We start from the raw sequence: 18692 nt of genomic DNA on the forward strand, positions 1-18692 counted from the left end.
GGAAACATAATGATTGGCAGCTTTCCATAGAGACCTAGGAAGCACAAATTTCACATAGCAAAAAAGGGTAAGAAAGAAAGAACTACAACTGACTCGCATTTTCTTTTTTAAAAAAATTTAAACTGTCTCAATTTGCTATAATTTTCTTAGCCAATCCCTTCTTTTCCGAAAATACAGCTCAACTTCAACCTAGTCCCTTCGATAATCACAATTCTGAATTAACAATGTTTCAGGATTTGTTACTTCTTCTCAATTATTCCTTTTTTTTTTTTTTTTAGATGGAGTCTCACTCTGTCACCCGGGCTGGAGTGCAGTGGCGTGATCTCGGCTCACTGCAACCTCTGCCTCCTGGGTTCAGGCGATTCTCCTGCCTCAGCCTCCTGAGCATCTGGGATCACAGGCATGCGCCACCACACCCAGCTAATTTTTGTATTTTTAGTAGAGACGGGGTTTCTCCACGTTGGCCAGGCTGGTCTTGAGCTCCTGACCTCAAGTGATCTGCCCACCTCGGCCTCTCAAAGTGCTAAGATTACAGATGTGAGGCACCACGCCCAGCGATCTCAATTATTCCTACATGAAGGTTGACAGAAAGGAAGAAGGATAGACCAGTCACGGACAAAAAGTGTTAGGGCAACAAATGGTAGGCATAAAAAGAAAGACCAGGTGTGGTGGCTCACACCTTTAATCCCAGCACTTTGGGAAGTCGAGGTGGGAGGATTGCTTGCAGCAAGGAGTTCAAGACCAGCCTGGGCAACATAGCAACACTTTATCTCTATAAAATATAAAAAATACATACATATTTTAAAAAAGAAGACAAAAATAATAGATAGGTGTGTGTTTGTGCATATGCTACATATGTAAGTCACCAGATGGGCTGGGATCAACTGTACAAAAAGGAAAACAAGGTTTATCCCAGCAAATTTGTCGAAGCTGGCAGGTCCCACAAGTACCTACTATGGAGGATATTTTTGTTCTGATCATCTCAAGCTGGAGTCAACTTTGAAAGAAAACTGATGGTAGGTAATGTAAACATCAAACTCTGGTTGTTCGTATGGTTTATTTTAAGGAGACAACAAGGTTCTTTGACTTTGGGCAGCAACCACAGAGACATTCAAAGATTGATGCACTCTGATATCTGTTGCAACTATGTGTAACTCATCAACATTTGTTATAGGTATCAGCAAAATGGCCGTTTTGGTACTTTAAAAAAATTACAGAATAACAGTATCTTCATGCTGAAAACAATCATTAAGATTACCTAATCACCCCCCTTCTCTCAAGGATTGGAGAAATTGAAGCTAAACAGGGGATTACACAACATGAACAAAATGGAAAGAGCATAAATGAAATCTTGGATTTAAAAGCAGAGAATTAAAGAAAATCAAACCAAAGAGAATAAAAAGTTTTTAAAAAGAAAAATGTCTTTTAGCTCCATTTTTTTCCCACAAAAAATCACAAACTATATCCTCTCCCTCTTGCAGAAGAGGATTCACATCATGTCAATTAGGTCTTTTCTGAGATACACACTCATTCCTTCAGGCAGACACACTACCATACTGTTCTTTTCTTTTACATTCAACTTTAAATCCCATAATCTAACTGAAGTCTTTTCACAATTAATTATTGCTCAAGTTCAGCAAGTTAAGCATGTTTATTAATTCCCATCGACTAGAAAAAAAGTTAGAGGCAGCATAATCTAAATTTAAAGTGACCTTTCATTTAGAAGTTAGAAAATTAGAGGTAGATACTTTGGAATTCTTATTGTCTCTAAGACCATCTCCCTAACCCTGCCAAAAGGCAGGGATACTAGCAATCTAGAAAAAAATATGCATGGAGAGGCTTAGGACCTGCATCATCAAGCACTGCCAGTGGTTCTCAGCAGTACTCATTGGTTGCATGTCAGACCAAGGAGATGTGAAATATATATTTTAGAGATAACCTAAAATCTGTTCTAAAGAACTCCAATGACATTCAACATACCTACTCAAGCAAGAGGGAAAGAAATAATATTGTACACAACCCTAGATTTATCCAGTATGTCTCCCATGTGTATTGAGAGTCAGCTTGTATATCTGGGAAGATGAGAGGGGACAATCTGATATCACTCATTTACTAGAGGAGAAAACTTAAAGTCTAAAAGATTCAATGGCTTATACAGGTCCTTCTGAAAATGAACAATTTCCATTTAGAGACTGTTCTTCTGCAAAGGTATCTGATCCATTGACACTAGGAAGGAGAGCTGATGCCACCCAGATTATTTCTTCTGGTGTTAATTAATATAATGACTTTCCAGTTAGTAAGTTTTTGCTGCTTTAGAACTTGATCAAACAATTATACTGACAAAACTGTTTCAAACCTATAAAGCTGCTGACATATATACCATGCAAATTCCATTAATGGGAGACCCCTGGATGTCCAGCTTGAAATACCTGGCTATCTACCACCATGAAAAAATTCTGAGTTATGTATAAATAAGTTGATTTATTCATTCACATTATATTCTCTACCCCACTTCCTCTCTCCCTTCACCTACCTCCTTCATTCCTCCAACCCAATGGTATACAGCAGGAGTTGGCAAACATTTTCTGTAAAGGGTCAGATGGTAAATAGTTTGGCCTTTGTGGCTCTGCCTTTGTAGCACAAAAGTAGCCACAGACAATCCATAAATGAATGGGTGTGGCTATATTCCAATAAAACTTCATTTACAAAAACAGATCCAGCTTGCAGAGCTATAGTTTGCCAACCCTGGTTTGAAGCAGCAATTTTCAAACTTTAGCCTGAATCACAATCACATACAGGCTTGTTAAAATACAGACCTCCGGGCCTCATCCTTAAGTGTCTGATTCAATAGCCCTGTCATGGGGCCTGAGATTTTAATAAGCTCCCAAGCAATGCTGATGCTGCTGGTCCAGGGACCACACTTTGAGAACCACTAGTACAGAACAATGGTCTATACTCCTTTCAGCGGAAGGTTAAAATGTAACCAACAATCAAGAATGTAGAAACTACATGCTGCAAACTTGACTGCTAATTTAATAGAATATTTCATATGAAGACTTACTGTTAAGTGCCATAATATTATCTGTTCCTGGATGATGGAAATTTATCCCCATGCGTCCTAAAAAATAAAATAATTTTAAGCAAAAAGAATGTTTAATGTAATCATTTCAAACACATCTTAAAATATAAACATTACAAAAATCTAAAACAGATTAATCTATAACAATGCTATCAAAGGCCAAAGCAGTTACAACAGTTTTAAAAATTAAGTCATAAAACATACACATGAAAAGTCTTAAAGCCAAAGTTTCAACAACAAATAAATAAAAAAAAACAAAAAAAGAAGCTTCTGTTATAATAGTCTGAAATTTAACACATCTCCTGCATTCCAATTTAAACATGCCAACTCCTTGGATTAAACATTTTATTTAAACAACCATTTATACTGTCCTTCCATTCAAGCAGCAAAAAAAAAAAAAAAAAAAAAAATAGATTCAAACAAGTATATAAATTTGAAGCTTAGAGAGAATAAAAAGAGAGGTTTCATAGTGGCTCAAAAATGCAATATAATAATCAGAATGGCAACCAGAAGGAAGACGGTAAAATTCATAAAAGAGACAGAATGGGGGAAAATGATTGGCCTAAAAATCTAGGGTTCTGGTGGCTCTCCCTAACACTAACTAGTGATATGACCTTGAATATAATGCTAATCTCCACATGTTCATCCTTAAGTCTATAACAGGAGTTGCAAACGTCTGCTGACACAGCTGGCTTCCTGTTTTTGTATGCCTCTGAGTTAAGCATCATTTTTACATTTAGAAAGGCTTGTAAACACAACCAAACCAAAAATAAAACAAAGAACAATATGTGACAGAGACCATGTGGCCCGTAAAGCCTAAAATATTTACTCTTTAGCACTTCACAAAGTTTGCCAACCCCTGGTCTATAAGATGTTAAGTCAGAAACAGATGCTTCAACTAATGGCCCCTAGGGGCAAGAATGGAAGATGCAGACATTTTTGTTATGTTTTCTTCATTAATTATTTGGGACAAGGAGGTAGATGTACCAAAAGGAAAATTTGAGAGAGTCTTATATGAAAAAAAAAAAATGTACTTAGAAAGCTTTCTTGACCAAATTCCTTCAACAAAATAGTTATTGAAACAATGCTTTTGTGTAAAGCTAATATCTATAAACTTGGCTCTGCAAGGTTTTAATGTTCAATTATGTCAAGGGTTATCATGAAATTCTCAAAAAATGTTAATCTTATTTCACTACCATTGTTTAAATAAATGTCAACAGTATTTTGCGGAGAAAGTATACAGAAAAAGCTGGAGATAAGGTTAAAATGATTGATTTTTACAACATACACAGTTTTATATTACATAATTGCAAAAGAGTCAGTGATCATTTGATGGTAAACTCCGTTACAGGGGACTGGAGGCAAATAGCATTATTAAGTTCTTTTTGCCCAAAAGGAAAGCATCACAGTAGACAAAGCAGGGCATTTGCCTTAAATAAAAAGGGAGAATCATGAATTCCTAAGCAAATGAAGTTTTTGCCTAGACAGGACCATCCTGATTTCTTATTGCTCCCCAGGCTACGATAATTTGTAAAAGGTCATTTCATATTAAGAGGTAGGGAAGGCCGGGCGCAGTGGTTCATGCCTATAATCCCAGCACTTTGGGAAGCCGAGGAGGGCAGATCATCTGAGGTCATGAGTTAGAGACCAGCCTGGCCAACATGGTGAAACCCCATCTCTACTAAAAATACAAAAATTAGCTGGGTGTGGTGGTGGATGCCCATAATCCCAGCTACTTGGGAGGCTGAGGCAGGAGAATCACTTGAACTCGGAATGTGGAGGTTGCAGTGAGCCGAGATTGCGCCACTGTACTCCAGCCAGGGCGACAGAGCAAGACTCCGTCTCAAAAAAAAAAAAAAAAAAAGAGGCAGGGAAAAACAAAACCCTCGCAAGTGAAGCATCACTTATATTGGTGTGTATGTATGTATTGAATGAGAAAATCTTAAATACATCCATAAATAAGAAAATCCACTAGAATTTGATGGATTCTGATAAAACTGTTCTAACTTTATCATGAAGCATTATAGAGCTTTCAATGAAAATTTTTAGTTTTTATCGTTTCAAACCTTATTAGGAAAAAAATGTTTCATCTCTCTCTGGTTTTGCAGAGACAATTTTGCTAGCATTTGTAATATAGTAAAATTATTTTCTTAGATTAGATCATGTTTTCTATTAAAAAGCCATATGAGTAAAATCTAAAAGAACCATCTATTTTTTATAGATTTCATAAACGTTTTCATATTTACTAGAAGCTAATTATTAGGAATTTCAAAAACTACCCCATTGTTAAAAGATACATGTACTGTATCTATATATAATTGTTCTACGTGCCTTACGTTTTTTCAGTTCCTAAGTCATTTTAGAGTCCCTGAAAATTATAGTTGGCAACAAGTGTTATCTCCTACCACCACCTTGATCAGAACCTATAATAGGAAAAACTGTCACCAGAACAAGGCTTTCACTCAGTAGGGAGAAAGTATATTCTCATTTCAACTAGCTATCTCAATGTTCTCACCATCGTTTTTGGATAATCAAGACCTTATTTGGATTCATTATCAAAAAATATTAATATCTATGAAAACTATATGTGATTTACTCTAAACCAGCTTTCATCCTTTTCTGGGGTATTCAAATATAACAATGATTAGCCAGTCACTGGAAAGTCTACCTAAAAGCCCATCAAGACTTCAAAATCACTGCCCATCAGAACTTAAGGAAATCGCATATATGGAGGATCTTTTCAAACTTTAACCAAGGAATATTTAGAGGAGGGTGTGCTATCTAAAAAGTTAGCAATATTCCCTAAATATTTCTAGAATAATAATAAAGGGTTATCAAGGAAATCATGCAAACCCAAATTTAGCTGATCCTTATTTGACTTCTTTTCTTTCCTGTGTCTACCATTTACGGTAAAGAATTATGTAGTTTACAACCACTATATCAAATAAAGTTTTTACATGTTCCTATAACTACTTAGTTTCCCAAATGTAAAGGGGTACCCTTTTTGTCCTCCAGAAGTTAAACATACCTACATGGATCCTTTTTGACCCTTTCCATAAGCTCCTAGAACTTTTCAGCTTGGAAAGATGAAACTGAAAGGAAGCTTGGTAGTTTTCAAATTATTATTCTCTATCGTACGCTGATTACTTCCAACCTAAACTTCCTTATGATGCAGTAAAACAAGAGCCTTAGGCAGTGTTTTGCAGATTGAAAGTATCACTAATTGGTGAAAAGCAGAACACTTTTTACCTTTCTTGGTATTCTCTCTAATTCTTTGACCTCTTTGACTTCAGCAGGTCTCTGGATGAAAGTGAGCAACAAAAGATTTTATAAGAAACTCCAGGCTGGGCACCGTGGCTCACGCCTGTAATCCCAACACTTTGGGAGGCCGAGGCAGTCGGATCAAGAGGTCAAGAGATAAAGACCATCCTGGCCAACGTGGTGAAACCCCATCTCTACTAAAAATACAAAAAAATTAGCTGGGTGTGGTGGCATGCACCTGTAGTCCCCGCTACTCGGGAGGCTAAGGCAGGAGAATCGCTTAAACCTGGGAGGTGGAGGTTGCAGTGAGCCGAGATCGTGTCACAGCACCCCAGCCTGGAGATAGAGCAAGACTCTGTCTCAAAAAGAAAAGAAAAGAAAAGACACTCTGGGTCGAGAAGGCCACATCCATCAGAATCAATTATCTAAATATAATCTAATTTTTCCCCCAACTAATAATGTAATTTTTTAAAGTAAAATCATTCACAGCATCTTTAAGCTGGTTTCTTTACCTCTTCCAAAAGTAATTTTTAGATTATAAAATGCAATATATTTTCATTGGAGAAAAATCACATAATGCAAAAAAATGGAGAAAACAAGCTCACCAAGGATAAGCACTGTTAACATTTTGATTTACAGTTTTCCACGTTAGGGAGTGTATATGTGTAAAGGTTTCTTTTCTAAAATTGAAATTATTTCATAATTTTTTAACTTAATACATTGTATATCTTAAGTTTTACAGTTATTAAGGAATTTTGGAGGAAAATAAAATATATAACAGCAAAAGAAAAACTGATTCCAAATTCAGAAGAGGCCATTTCTTTTTTCTTCCTTTTGTCCAACAAATACTGCTGTTTAATCAGCTGTGAAAATAGAATCAAGTGCGTGACATCTGATGATTTTTGTATAATGTAGTCTGGTGTTGCCAGCGTGACATTTCGTCACCTGTCCATGGTCTGCTATTTTTAAATTGTTCTTGTCAGCTAGCTATCTTTTAAGTATAGTGTAAAATGTAAGATTTCAAAAACTGGAAGGCATACTTGGTTTTACTAAGTTAAATGATGCTGTGGAAATCTGAGACTGTGTCCCACTTTCCCCACTGCACAGGATCTGATAAATAGGGGTGAGAGGGGATGAAGGGAGAGGTTAGAGAATAGGGTTACATATGGTTATTCGTTCTGTTAAAATCACAGTCCCATAAGCTCAATTCACATTCATATTTAAAACACTAGTTATAAAAAAAAAACTATGTCTATCATGATTCAAAGTTTCAGAATCCAACTAAACTCATGCTTTTATGAGTTCAAAATAAAAACTGAAATTTTCATTAATTCATAATTGATTACGAAAGTCATCTCTTTACTTCTACAATATGTTATGAGATAGGGAACAACTGCTGTACCTTCCTCTAATCACTCCCTTTGCTCGAAAAAGGCAAGTACATCAGAAAGCTTCATGTAACAGAATGTTAGTGCCACGTTTCAGAAAGACTTACCAGGTAAAATGCATATTCTACTGGGTTTTATTTCCCACTAACTTTCTCTATAAAGTTAGAGAGACATTGCTTTAGAAAAGTATCTTAAAAATGTAATACTGTGATATGTAAAAATATAGTAAACTGTTTTTTAAATCTGTTTTAAGGAAATGATAAAACTTTGATACTAAAATATTCTAAATATGTTCCAAATAACCAATAATCAAAACCTGTGAGCTTAGACCTGAGGTCAAATCCTAGTTTATTCACATACTAATAGCGGGTAATTTTTGGCAAGTTGTTAAATATTTTGTGCCTCTGTTTCCTCATTTAATAAAGACTGTACTCGAGAACAATTAAATCACAATTCCCAGCCTGGTGTGCACTGGTTCACACCTGTAATCCAGGCACTTTGGGAGGCAGAGGTGGGCAGATCGCTTGAGCTCAGGAGTTAGAGACCAGCCTGAGCAACATGGCGAAACCCTGTCTCCACAAAAAAAAAAAAAATACAAAAAAAAAAAAAAATTAGGTGGGTATGGTGGCATGCACCTACAGTTCCAGCTACTCACGAGGCTGAGGTGGGAGGAGAGCTTGAGCCCGGGAGGTGACGACTGCAGTGAGCTGAGATCGCACCACTGCATTCCAGCCTGGGTTACACAGCGAGACCCTGTCTCAAAATAATAATAATCATCATCATCTTTATCTTTTAAAACTCAGGTGATTTTTTTTTTTTTTTTTAGATGGAGTCTCGCTCTGTCACCCAGGCTGGAGTGCAGTGGCACAATCTTGGCTCAAAGCAAGCTCCACCTCGTGGGTTCAAGCGATTCTCCTGCCTCAGCCTCCTGAGTAGCTGGGACTACAGGCGCCTGCCACCACACCTGGCTAATTTTCGTATTTTTAGTAGAGGCAGGGTTTCACCATGTAGGCCAGGCTGGTCTTGAAGTCCTGACCTCAAGCGATCTGCCCGCCTCAGCCTCCCAAAGTGCTGGGATTATAGGCGTGAGCCACCATGCCTGGCCGCTAAAAACTCAGGTAATTTAAATGCTATGCTTAAAGGATGATTACGCAAATTAATGGGAGGGTACTTATACAAATCACTCAGTTTCTACTTACTGTCTCTGCCCCCAAGAATGTACAAAACAAGAACCATCACTTCTTGCTGACTTAGAACCTGCCCCCTAACAGTTTGTGTAATCTGCTAACTTTCAAACAAGATAAACAGATATGGGCTATCAAGGGAAATAACACAAAAATAGAACTGAGCAATAATTCAAGCCACAGAAGTAAATAAAGAGACAGTATATTTTTCTGGAACAAACAAGCAAATAAAATGTAATGAAGGCATATTTTTCTAAAATAAGAAGACCTCAAAATTCCGTAAGAGGGGACAAATTTTGTGAAAGGCTCTACAATACTAAATTTAAATTGTGATGAATAAAGAAAAATGCCTCTATAACACCAAAGGGGTGGCATTATCTCTTCCATTTTAACACCAAAGGGGTGGCATTATCTGTTTTAAAGCACTATTACTGAAAGATAAGCTATTTTTCTCTAGACACTCTCAGCATACTTTCGAAAAGCAAAGCTTTCAATAACAGTTCTCAACTGACACCTGTTCTTTTCACTTTTCAAATCTCAGTTCCATGAATGGTGAGGGAAGAGAAAATTCAAATACATAAAAATGTTTTACTAGGCACGAACCCCAGATAGTCAGCCAGGACTATTTTTCTGCTGTAAGAGGGAAATTGCATGGGATGAAGAAAAAGTAACTCCTCCCTGTTTTTGCCAAGATGCCTGCTATACTGGGCTTCCCCAGTTAGGGTATACGATCTTACTTCTCTGCTCAATGTGCTATAGTTGGTATTTCCTTACTATCCTTCTAGAGTTGGGAGAATATGATTAATCAAACCTGACCTGACGACCATGAGTTTTCAGAGTGGTTCCATAGGAGCTTAGTGAACCTGCATCATAGGTAGAAAGTCAAGGAACAGCTATAAAGAAGACAATAGGGATGAATCTTTTTCGTTATCTCTTACCCCACCTCTCTCAACACGATTAATCCCCTTAATCCTCATAGTTATGAAGAGAGTTGCATTTTCCTTCAATCCACTAGAAATGAGAACAGAGAACAGTTGCTCCCTCCTACTACATCTGCCAACCCAAGGATTTCTGTACTTCGAAAAAGAAATAAGAAACAGGGCCAGGGCCAGTGGCTCATGCCTATAATCTTAGCACTTTGGGAGACTGAGGTGGAAGGATTGCTTGAGCTCAGGAGTTCAAGACCAGCCTGGGCAACATGGTGAAACCTTGTCTCTACAGCAAATAGAAAAAATCAGCCAGGCATGGTGCCTGTGCCTCTAGTACCAGCTACTTAGGGAGCTGAGGCAGGAAGACTGCTTGAGCCTGGGAGGTCAAGGCTGCAGTGAGCCAAGATTGTGCCACTGCACTCCAGCCTGGGTGAAAGAGCAAGAACCTGTCTCAAAAAATAAATAAATAAATAAAATAAGAAACAGCTGTCATTAGAGTATTACCCTCTTCAAAAGCCTCCTTTCTCATCTCTGAGGCATTCTCTCAAACGAAAAGAAAAGTATATGTAAGACATAGTAAAAAAAAAAAAAAAAAAAAAAAAAAAAAAAACCCAGGAGATTATTACCTTATTCCGTTACAGCCAAGCACGTAGTTTGGGATCTTTAAAAAGCAAAAAATAAATAAATAAATTAGTCCGGCTGGGCGCAGTGGCTCATGCCTGTAATCCCAGCACTTTGGGAGGCTAAGCCTGGCAGATGACAAGGTCAGGAGTTCGAGACCAGCCTGGACAACATGGTGAAACCCGTCTCTATTTAAAAATACAAAAATTAGCCGGGTGTGATGGTACATGCCTGTAATCCTAGCTACTCAGGAGGCTGAGGCAGGAGAATTGCTTGAACCAGGGAGGCGGAGGTTGCAATGAGCTGAGATCCCGCCACTGCACTCCAGCCTGGGCGACAGAGCCAGACTCCGTCTCAGAAAAAAAATAAATAAATAAAAAATAAATTAGTCAAATTTTTGTTTAAATATGCATTCTGTGATCTGATTAATGCTATAGAAGATATTTTTCAGTGTGCTGTGAAGAAAGTTCAATTCAGCTTTTATTCTATATAATTTTTATCATGGGGGATGAAATAGAGAAACTTTTAAAATTTCCTACAAATATCTTCAAGGCTGGTAAACTGAATACATGACCAAAAAACTATTAAAGCTTATTTACTTTACTAAAACAGAAGTCTCATTATCTCCTAAACTTCCTATTCTGTTATCTCCCATGCTAATCCTTTTTTCCCCTGAATCAAGAGGATAGTTGAATAAAGAGATTTTTTACTGAATACATTTCTAAGATAAAATATTATTGTGAACATATTTTTACCATGTTCTTCAAGTACATCTTAAAGTACTAGATATCCTATTTTATTATATATTTTTTACATCATTCAGATTTACAATTGGAAAACCAAAATAACCAAAAAATTATTTTCCTTTCTCCTTTAAGTGGCTTTGAAAATGGTAAGACGTTTATCCTTCAATAATCACTACTTATGAAAAATATAAAATTTTGACAACTTGCACCTGAAAAATTTCAACATTTAGCTGAAGTCTAGTTGGAAAGAAGTCAGTACTGTAAGGATACCATACTACTTCCAGCAAAAAATTGTGGATAACATTTGAGCAGTTTCTAGTGCCAGGGACTTTATTTGATCTTCGCACTCACTCTATGAAGTAGGGAATTTATTTTAACAATAAGAACACTGAGGCTTTGAAGAGGTTAATTTATCCAGATTAATAGGCAGCCAGAGGCAGAGACAGAATTCACACCCAGGTTTCACTGACTGCAAAGTCAGAAAGACTGAGTTGAAATTTCATCTCCTATATGGAGAATATAAAATATCTGGAAGGATGTTAATAAAAATAATAACCTTTGTTACCTCTAGGTAGAGAGTCTCTAGTGATTTTTTTTTTTTTTTTTTTTTTTTTTTGAGACAGAGTCTCTCGCTCTGTCGCCAGGCTGCAGTACAGTGGCGCAATCTCGGTCACTGCAACCTCCAACTCCCTGGTTCAAGCAATCACCACGCCCTGCCTCCAGTGATTTTTTTTTTTTCTTTTTTACTTTCCTTTTCGTCCTTTTACATACTATTTGGATTTCTTATAATGAGTAAAAATGTATTTTTTTCTGAAAAACAAAGGAAATTAAGCTCTAGGAAAAAAAAACACCAAAACAAACAAACATACAAAAACCAGTTACTCTGGGGCCAGGCAGGGTGGCACAGGCCTGTAATCCCAGCACTTTAGGAGGCCAAGGCGGGCAATCACCTGAGGTCAGAAGTTCGAGACCAGCCTGGCCAACATGGTGACACCCCGTCTCTACTAAAAATACAAAAATTAGCTGGTAGTGGTGGCAGGTGCCTGTAATCCCAGCTGCTCAGGAGGCTGAGGCAGGAGAATCACTTGAATCTGGGAGGCAGAGGTTGCAGTGAGCCAACATCACGCCATTGCACTCCAGCCTGGGCGACAAGAGCAAGACTTTGTCTCAAAAAAACCAACAAAAATCCAGTTACCCTGTACTTGAGTTTTGAGACCCTCAAAATAGTGTTCCCCATGTTCAAGTGGGAGTAAAGGATATTGAAAGTAGGAGGAGGCTGGGCGCAGTGGCTCACACCTGTAATCTCAGCACTTTGGGAGGCCGAGGCAGGTGGATCACCTAAGGTCAGGAGTTTGAGACCAGCGTGACCAACATGGAGAAATTCTGTCTCTACTAAAAATACAAAATTAGCTGGGTGTAGTGGCACATGCCTGTAAACCCAGCTACTCAGGAAGCTGAGGCAGGAGAATCGCTTGAACCCATGAGGCACACGTTGTGGTAAGCCAAGATCACGCCATTGCACTCCAGCCTGGGCAACAAGAGCGAAACTCCATCTCAAAAAAAAAAAAAAAAAAAAAAAAAAAAAAAAAAAAAGGAGGAGGAAAAACCAGATAGTAGAGGGAAGTGCTTCCGAACAGACTCATACAGAAGCCACATGGCAGGTCCTCTAGCCTACCATCCTTCTCTTAAAGCTCAATCCACCTAAATGTTTATCTCTTTTGACCCAAAGACTCTCACTGTTAATTTACCTTAAGGAAAAGCTATGTGCAAGAACTCATCCATGGCAGCATTACCTAATAATGGAGGAAAAACTGGAAACAACCTAAGAGTCTAAAGTCAAGGCCTAGCAATAAATTACAAAGATCTGATAGAAGCATGGATAATGCTTATCATATGAGAATTAGACGAATAATACACCATCACAATCTTTATTTTTTAGTTACCTTTTTGTTCTTCTAATTTTCTCCACTTTTTAAAGTCAAAAACTTTTTTTTAATATTTTCCTTAAAATGCAAGTATCAGCCGGGTGCGGTGGCACTCCCAGCACTTTGGGAGGCCGAGGTGGGCAGATCACTAGAGGTCAGGAGTCTGAGAACAGCCTGGCCAACATGATGAAATCCCATCTCTATTAAAAATACAAAAACCAGCAGGGCGAGGTGGCGGGCACCTGTAATCCCAGCTACTTGGAAGGCTGAGGCAGAATAATCATTTGAACCTAGGAGGAGGAAGTTTCAGTGAGCCAAGATTGTGCCACTGCACTCCACTGTCTCAAAAAAATAAAAAATAAAAAAAATAAAAAATAAAAAAAAAATAAACTCACTTTCCCCAAAAACCCCTTCTTTTCTTTATAACCTATTGACTACTTTCTTTTCACTGGAAAATGAGGAAAGCAGAAGAAAATCATGAGTGTGACAAGAAAATGATGAAAGAGATTTCTGGTGTGGCTTGAGGAAATGAGCATCAGGTGTTCACAGTCATTCACACTATAATATGGGCCTAGAGAGAACCGGAGGGGATTGAATTTCTCACAATTTTGAAAGACATAATGGTTCATACAAGATGGGCATCCCCATGGCTACCTCTTCACAGTTTTCGGAAATTTAGATCTTAACCCAAGTATAATGGATATTTCCATAGGTAATTTGCATTACAGTATTTTTAAATATCTTAAGGTATCTAAAAAGTCCTATAACCCATAAAAAGAACTATCTGTAATTATGAATTAAATACCAACATCTATCCTGAATTTACACAGGCTGTAAAAACAGGAAGTCCTAATATTGCTAACTTTGAGACTTTCTGCCTTATATTTAACCCAAAACATTTATGTACTTTAAGATATTTTTCTTGTGATTTGGCCTCAGAGACTGCAAAGGGTCACTAGCTGCCCCTAAGCCTGTGTGGTGATACTTCCTATACTAGGAAGGGGATTATGCTGTAATAAAATAGAAGTCCTTTATATGCAGTTTTCTGAAGCAATTTTTGAAGACTGCTTTACTAACTCTCACAGCTCCTTGCAGTATATATACATGGACTTAAATGAATTATCCCGGTTCAGCTGAGGATTCCAAATGCACAAAGCCCAGAAAACCTGGCTGCTGGTCTCACGCTATTAACTCATAATGTGACTAACCTCAGCTACCCAATTCATGCTCCTGCCAGACATGACTGATAACAATCCACCTTGATTATTATAGGTAGCTGAACCCAGGTTAAAAAAAATCAACTTTAAATACATTCCACAATGCTTTACAGAAGCAAAACAAAAACAAGCAAACAAAAAACAAACCAGAAAAATCAAAATTATTAAAAAGCTGATTTTTGCTTAAAACACCAAGCAAGAAATGGACATATGAATATTCCTAACCTGCAAAATGATTCCTCCACATTATATCAGCGAAACTCATTGGTGGGCCACTGGGAGGGTAGTGTTTACCTTTCAGAGGTTCATGATCAGTCCTTATCATATCCATTAAGGAGTTCTCCAACGAGTGCAAGTTAAAAGTATCATAGGGCCTACTCCGGTCCTAAGAATAAAAACAAAAACAAGACAATACATAAAATTACTTCATAAAATTAACACCATATCATTTGCTTCCTGCTGTGGATTGATGACATGAATGAAAGTTACAGAGAGCCCCAACAGCATACAGTCCTTCTTTTTATTTGTTTATTTATTTATTTACTTTGTAGAGATGGGGTCTCGCTATGTTTCCCAGGCTGGTCTCGAATGTCTAGGCTCAAGCAATCCTCTTGCCTTGGCCTACCAAAGTGCTGGGATTACAGACGTGAGCTACCGCGCTGATCCTGCTCTTTTCATTAAGAATAATGACTTGTCACACCTGTAATCCCAGCACTTTGAGAGGCCAAGGTGGGCAGATCACTTGAAGTCAGGAGTTTGAGACCAGCCTGGCCAACAGGGTGGAACCTCGCCTCTACTAAAAATACAAAAATTAGCCAGGTATGGTGGTGTGCACCTGTAATCCCAGCTACTTGGGAGGCTGAGGCAGGAGAATCACTTGAACCTGGAAGGCAGAGGTTGCAGTGAGCTGAGGTCACACCACTGCATTCCAGCCTGGATGACAGAGCAAGACTCCATCTCAAAAAAAAAAGAACAATGACTTGGTAACATTAAGTTTAATACAAGTCTCCATAATTAATTAAATTGCATCATTTTCCCTAATACTCTATAATGCAATGTAATTGCAGAGTGACTTTCTCGCAAAGGAACTAAAATAGTAAATTTAAAAGGACGAGTCAAGTTAATTGGTTTTGCTCTCTACCCTCCACCCAATAACCTTATTGTCAAACGAACAGAGATGTTCCCCCCACCCCACCCCAGAGAAAGACCACAATTTTTTTTTTTGAGACAAGGTCTTGCTTTGTTGCCGAGGTTGAAGTACAGTGGTGCAATCATGGCTCACTTCAGTCCCGACCTCCTGAGCTCAAGCAATCCTCCCACCTCAGCCTCCCTAGTAGCTAGGACACTTGCCACCATGCCCAGCTAATTAAAAAAAATTTTTTTTTAAGAGATGGGGTCTCACTATGTTGCCCAGGCTGGTCTGGAATTCCTGAGTGCAAACGATAAAGACCACAGTTAAGAACTCAAACGGAATCATTTTCCTGAAAAACCAAAGGGTGACTATAATTTCAATGAAAATGTATTGGATATCTTTAACATTTCTTTTTTTTTTTTCTTTTTTTTAAGACAGAGTCTGGCTCTGTTGCCCAGGCTGGAGTGCAGTGGCGCAATCTTGGCTCACTGCAAGCTCCGCCTCCTGGGTTCACGCCATTCTCCTGCCTCAGCCTTCCGAGTAGCTAGGACTACAGGCACCCGCCACCATGCCCAGCTAATTTTTTGTATTTTTAGTAGAAATGGGGTTTCACCGTGTTAGACAGGATGATCTTGATCTCCTGACCTCGTGATCCACCGGCCTCGGCCTCCCAAAGTACAGGGATTACAGGCGTGAGACACCGCGCCCGGCCTACCTTTAACATTTCTGACCAGTAAGTTACATATATTGGATACACTTTTTAAAAATAAAAATGTGGCCAGGCGCAGTGGCTCACACCTGTAATCCCAGTACTTTGGGAGGCCGAGGTAGGCAGATCATGAGGTCAGGAGACTGAGATCATCCTAGCCAACAAGGTGAAACCCTGTCTCTACCGAAAATACAAAAATTAGCTGGGCATGCTGGTGCGTGCCTGTAATCCCAGCTACTCAGGAAGCTGAGGCAGCGAATTGCTTGGACCCGGGAGGCAGAGGTTGCCGTGAGCTGAGATCACGCCACTGCACTCCAGCCTGGCGACATAGCAAGACTCCATCTCAAAATTTAAAAATAAAAATGTGTTCTAAGTTGTATTCATGAAGATAATGGCAAAAAGGAAAAAAAATTTTTAATGTGTCCAAAGTACGAAAATTACCTTTTGAAAAGCACTGACACGAAGAAACCTTAACCCAAAGGAGTATTTTCAAGATGTTAGATTCAAAAACATTTTGAAACTAGAACTCTAACACAAACTAAGTAAAGAAAAAAGTATTATTTCACCACATTTCACTCAAGCCTTCAGGAAACTATCACCTACAAACTCTTCTTAGTACTCTGAGCCTCAAGGGAAACACAGCTCATGTTCTAAGTTAATACTAAAGAGCCAGGCACGGTGGCTCACGCCTGTAATCCCAGCACTTTGGGAGGCTGAGGCGGGCGGATCACGAGGTCAGGAGATCGAGACCATCCTGGCTAACATGGTGAAACTCCGTCTCTACTAAAAAATATACAAAAAATTAGCCAGGCATGGTGGTGGGCACCTGTAGTCCCAACTACTAGGGAGGCTAAGGCAGGAGAATGGCGTGAACCTGGGAGGTGGAGCTTGCAGTGAGCCGAGATCGCGCCACTGCACTCCAGCCTGGGCGACAGAGCGAGACTGTCTCAAAAAACACACACACACACACACACACACACACACACACACGTACAAAAAAAAAACTAAGTTAATACTAAAGAACAGATCAAGTTTGCTTTGGTTAAGAAAAGCAAGATAAGCATACAACTCAACAACCAAACCAAGTCAAACTACAGTGATGAGAGATTATTTTCAGGGTCTTGAGCAGTCTTTTCCAGCCTTGCACTTGATCATTTATCCTCTTCTATGGACAACACTCACCCATTACCTATCTCTCCCCTTGGATAGGAAAGAGACATGGAATATTTTCTTTGGTTGTCTACTTTGGTCTCTATACAATCTAAGAAGGTTTTTTCTTTTAAAGTCTTCCTGCAGATCATTTGTTTTGTTTTGGTTCAAGTTATTAGTGGAAACTCTAAGGAGTAAAGCTGAATTTCCAGAAATGCAGGCTTATCTGTACCCATAAGAGGTGTCTATCATATACTTTGTCCAAAGAAAAAGCCAGAGGTAAAGAAGTATGCTGATGAGGAGGCAAAATGATAACCTATTTCTGGCACTAACAATCCCAAAATGAATTATCTAGGAGCCCTCTATCACATCCACACTTCTAACTAGAACTCTGAAGACATGAGAGTGTTTCAGAATAGACTGACATGGTAAGGGAACTATAAGAAAACGCTATTTGAAGGCATTCAAGAATCTTTCCAGACAGGACAGTTTATTTTTTCATTTAATTATTGATAATCCCTCAAGGTAGATAACAATATACCCATTTTACACATGAAGAAGGCAAGGTTCAGAGAAGATTCAAGAGCCCTCAATGCCAAAACCTAAGGAGTATAAAAATCTGGCCAAAGAAATTATTTAAATCCATGGTTACTTCTATAGAAAAACAGCACTGTAACTAACTGCACATTACAATGTTTTAATGTAACAGTCAGTTCCTATCACAAATGGATATCTGACATTAGATGACTACCTGTCAGGAAAATAAAACAGGATTTTGGGAGGAGGGATTCATGTAACTAAATTGAAATGGTTCCCAAACCTGTCAGACTGTCAAAAATCACATGTAGAGCCGATTAAAACATAGATTCCTGGGTTCCAGCTCAAACCTACTTAATCATAATTTAAAACAAAATAAATTCTGTAACTGGCTAGAGCCACTAAATTGGATGATTCAAGTTAAGCCTTTACACCCATGATTCTGTTCAGTAAAATTAGACAGTAAAGTGAGGGCAGGGACTAGTGTGAGCAGCAGGCAATAAACAAGCCTGGCTACCTTGCAGAGGGTCAGTTTTGCAGTCTTCTGATTTACTGAGTATTAGAGAAACAGTTGGTGGCCTAGTTTTTAAAAGCACAGATTTTAAAATCAAAATCCAATTTTCAAATTTTGGCTCTCCCACTTACTGGCATGTCACTTTGAACATGCTTCTAAGCCTTGGTTATCTTCATCTATAAAATGGGATAATTTTCCAGGTGCAGTGGCTCACGCCTGTAATCCCAACACTTCAGGAGGTCAAGGCGGGTGGATCACGAGGTCAGGAGATCGAGACCATCCTGGCTAACATAGTGAAACC

The 18692-nt window shown here is 38.5% G+C and overlaps 1 protein-coding gene across 25 annotated transcripts in view; it reads right to left on the bottom strand.

The window, feature by feature from the left end:
* Positions 1 to 18692, bottom strand: part of CPEB3 (cytoplasmic polyadenylation element binding protein 3) — a 244542-nt gene that overhangs the window by 131210 nt on the left and 94640 nt on the right. For 17 of the 25 annotated variants that reach the window (XM_047424810.1, XM_024447895.2, XM_011539519.3 and 14 more), the window contains 2 exons: positions 14576 to 14735; positions 3062 to 3118 (listed from right to left, as the gene is read on the bottom strand). In XM_047424810.1, the coding sequence (XP_047280766.1) occupies positions 3062 to 3118; positions 14576 to 14735 (217 nt within the window). The remainder of the gene's footprint in view (positions 1 to 3061; positions 3119 to 14575; positions 14736 to 18692) is intronic. The other 8 variants (XM_011539520.3, XM_005269630.5, XM_011539515.3 and 5 more) reach the window with 2 other exon arrangements.

The sequence above is a fragment of the Homo sapiens genome, chromosome 10, assembly GCF_000001405.40.
Source record: "Homo sapiens chromosome 10, GRCh38.p14 Primary Assembly".
In the NCBI taxonomy this organism is placed as follows: domain Eukaryota; kingdom Metazoa; phylum Chordata; class Mammalia; order Primates; family Hominidae; genus Homo; species Homo sapiens.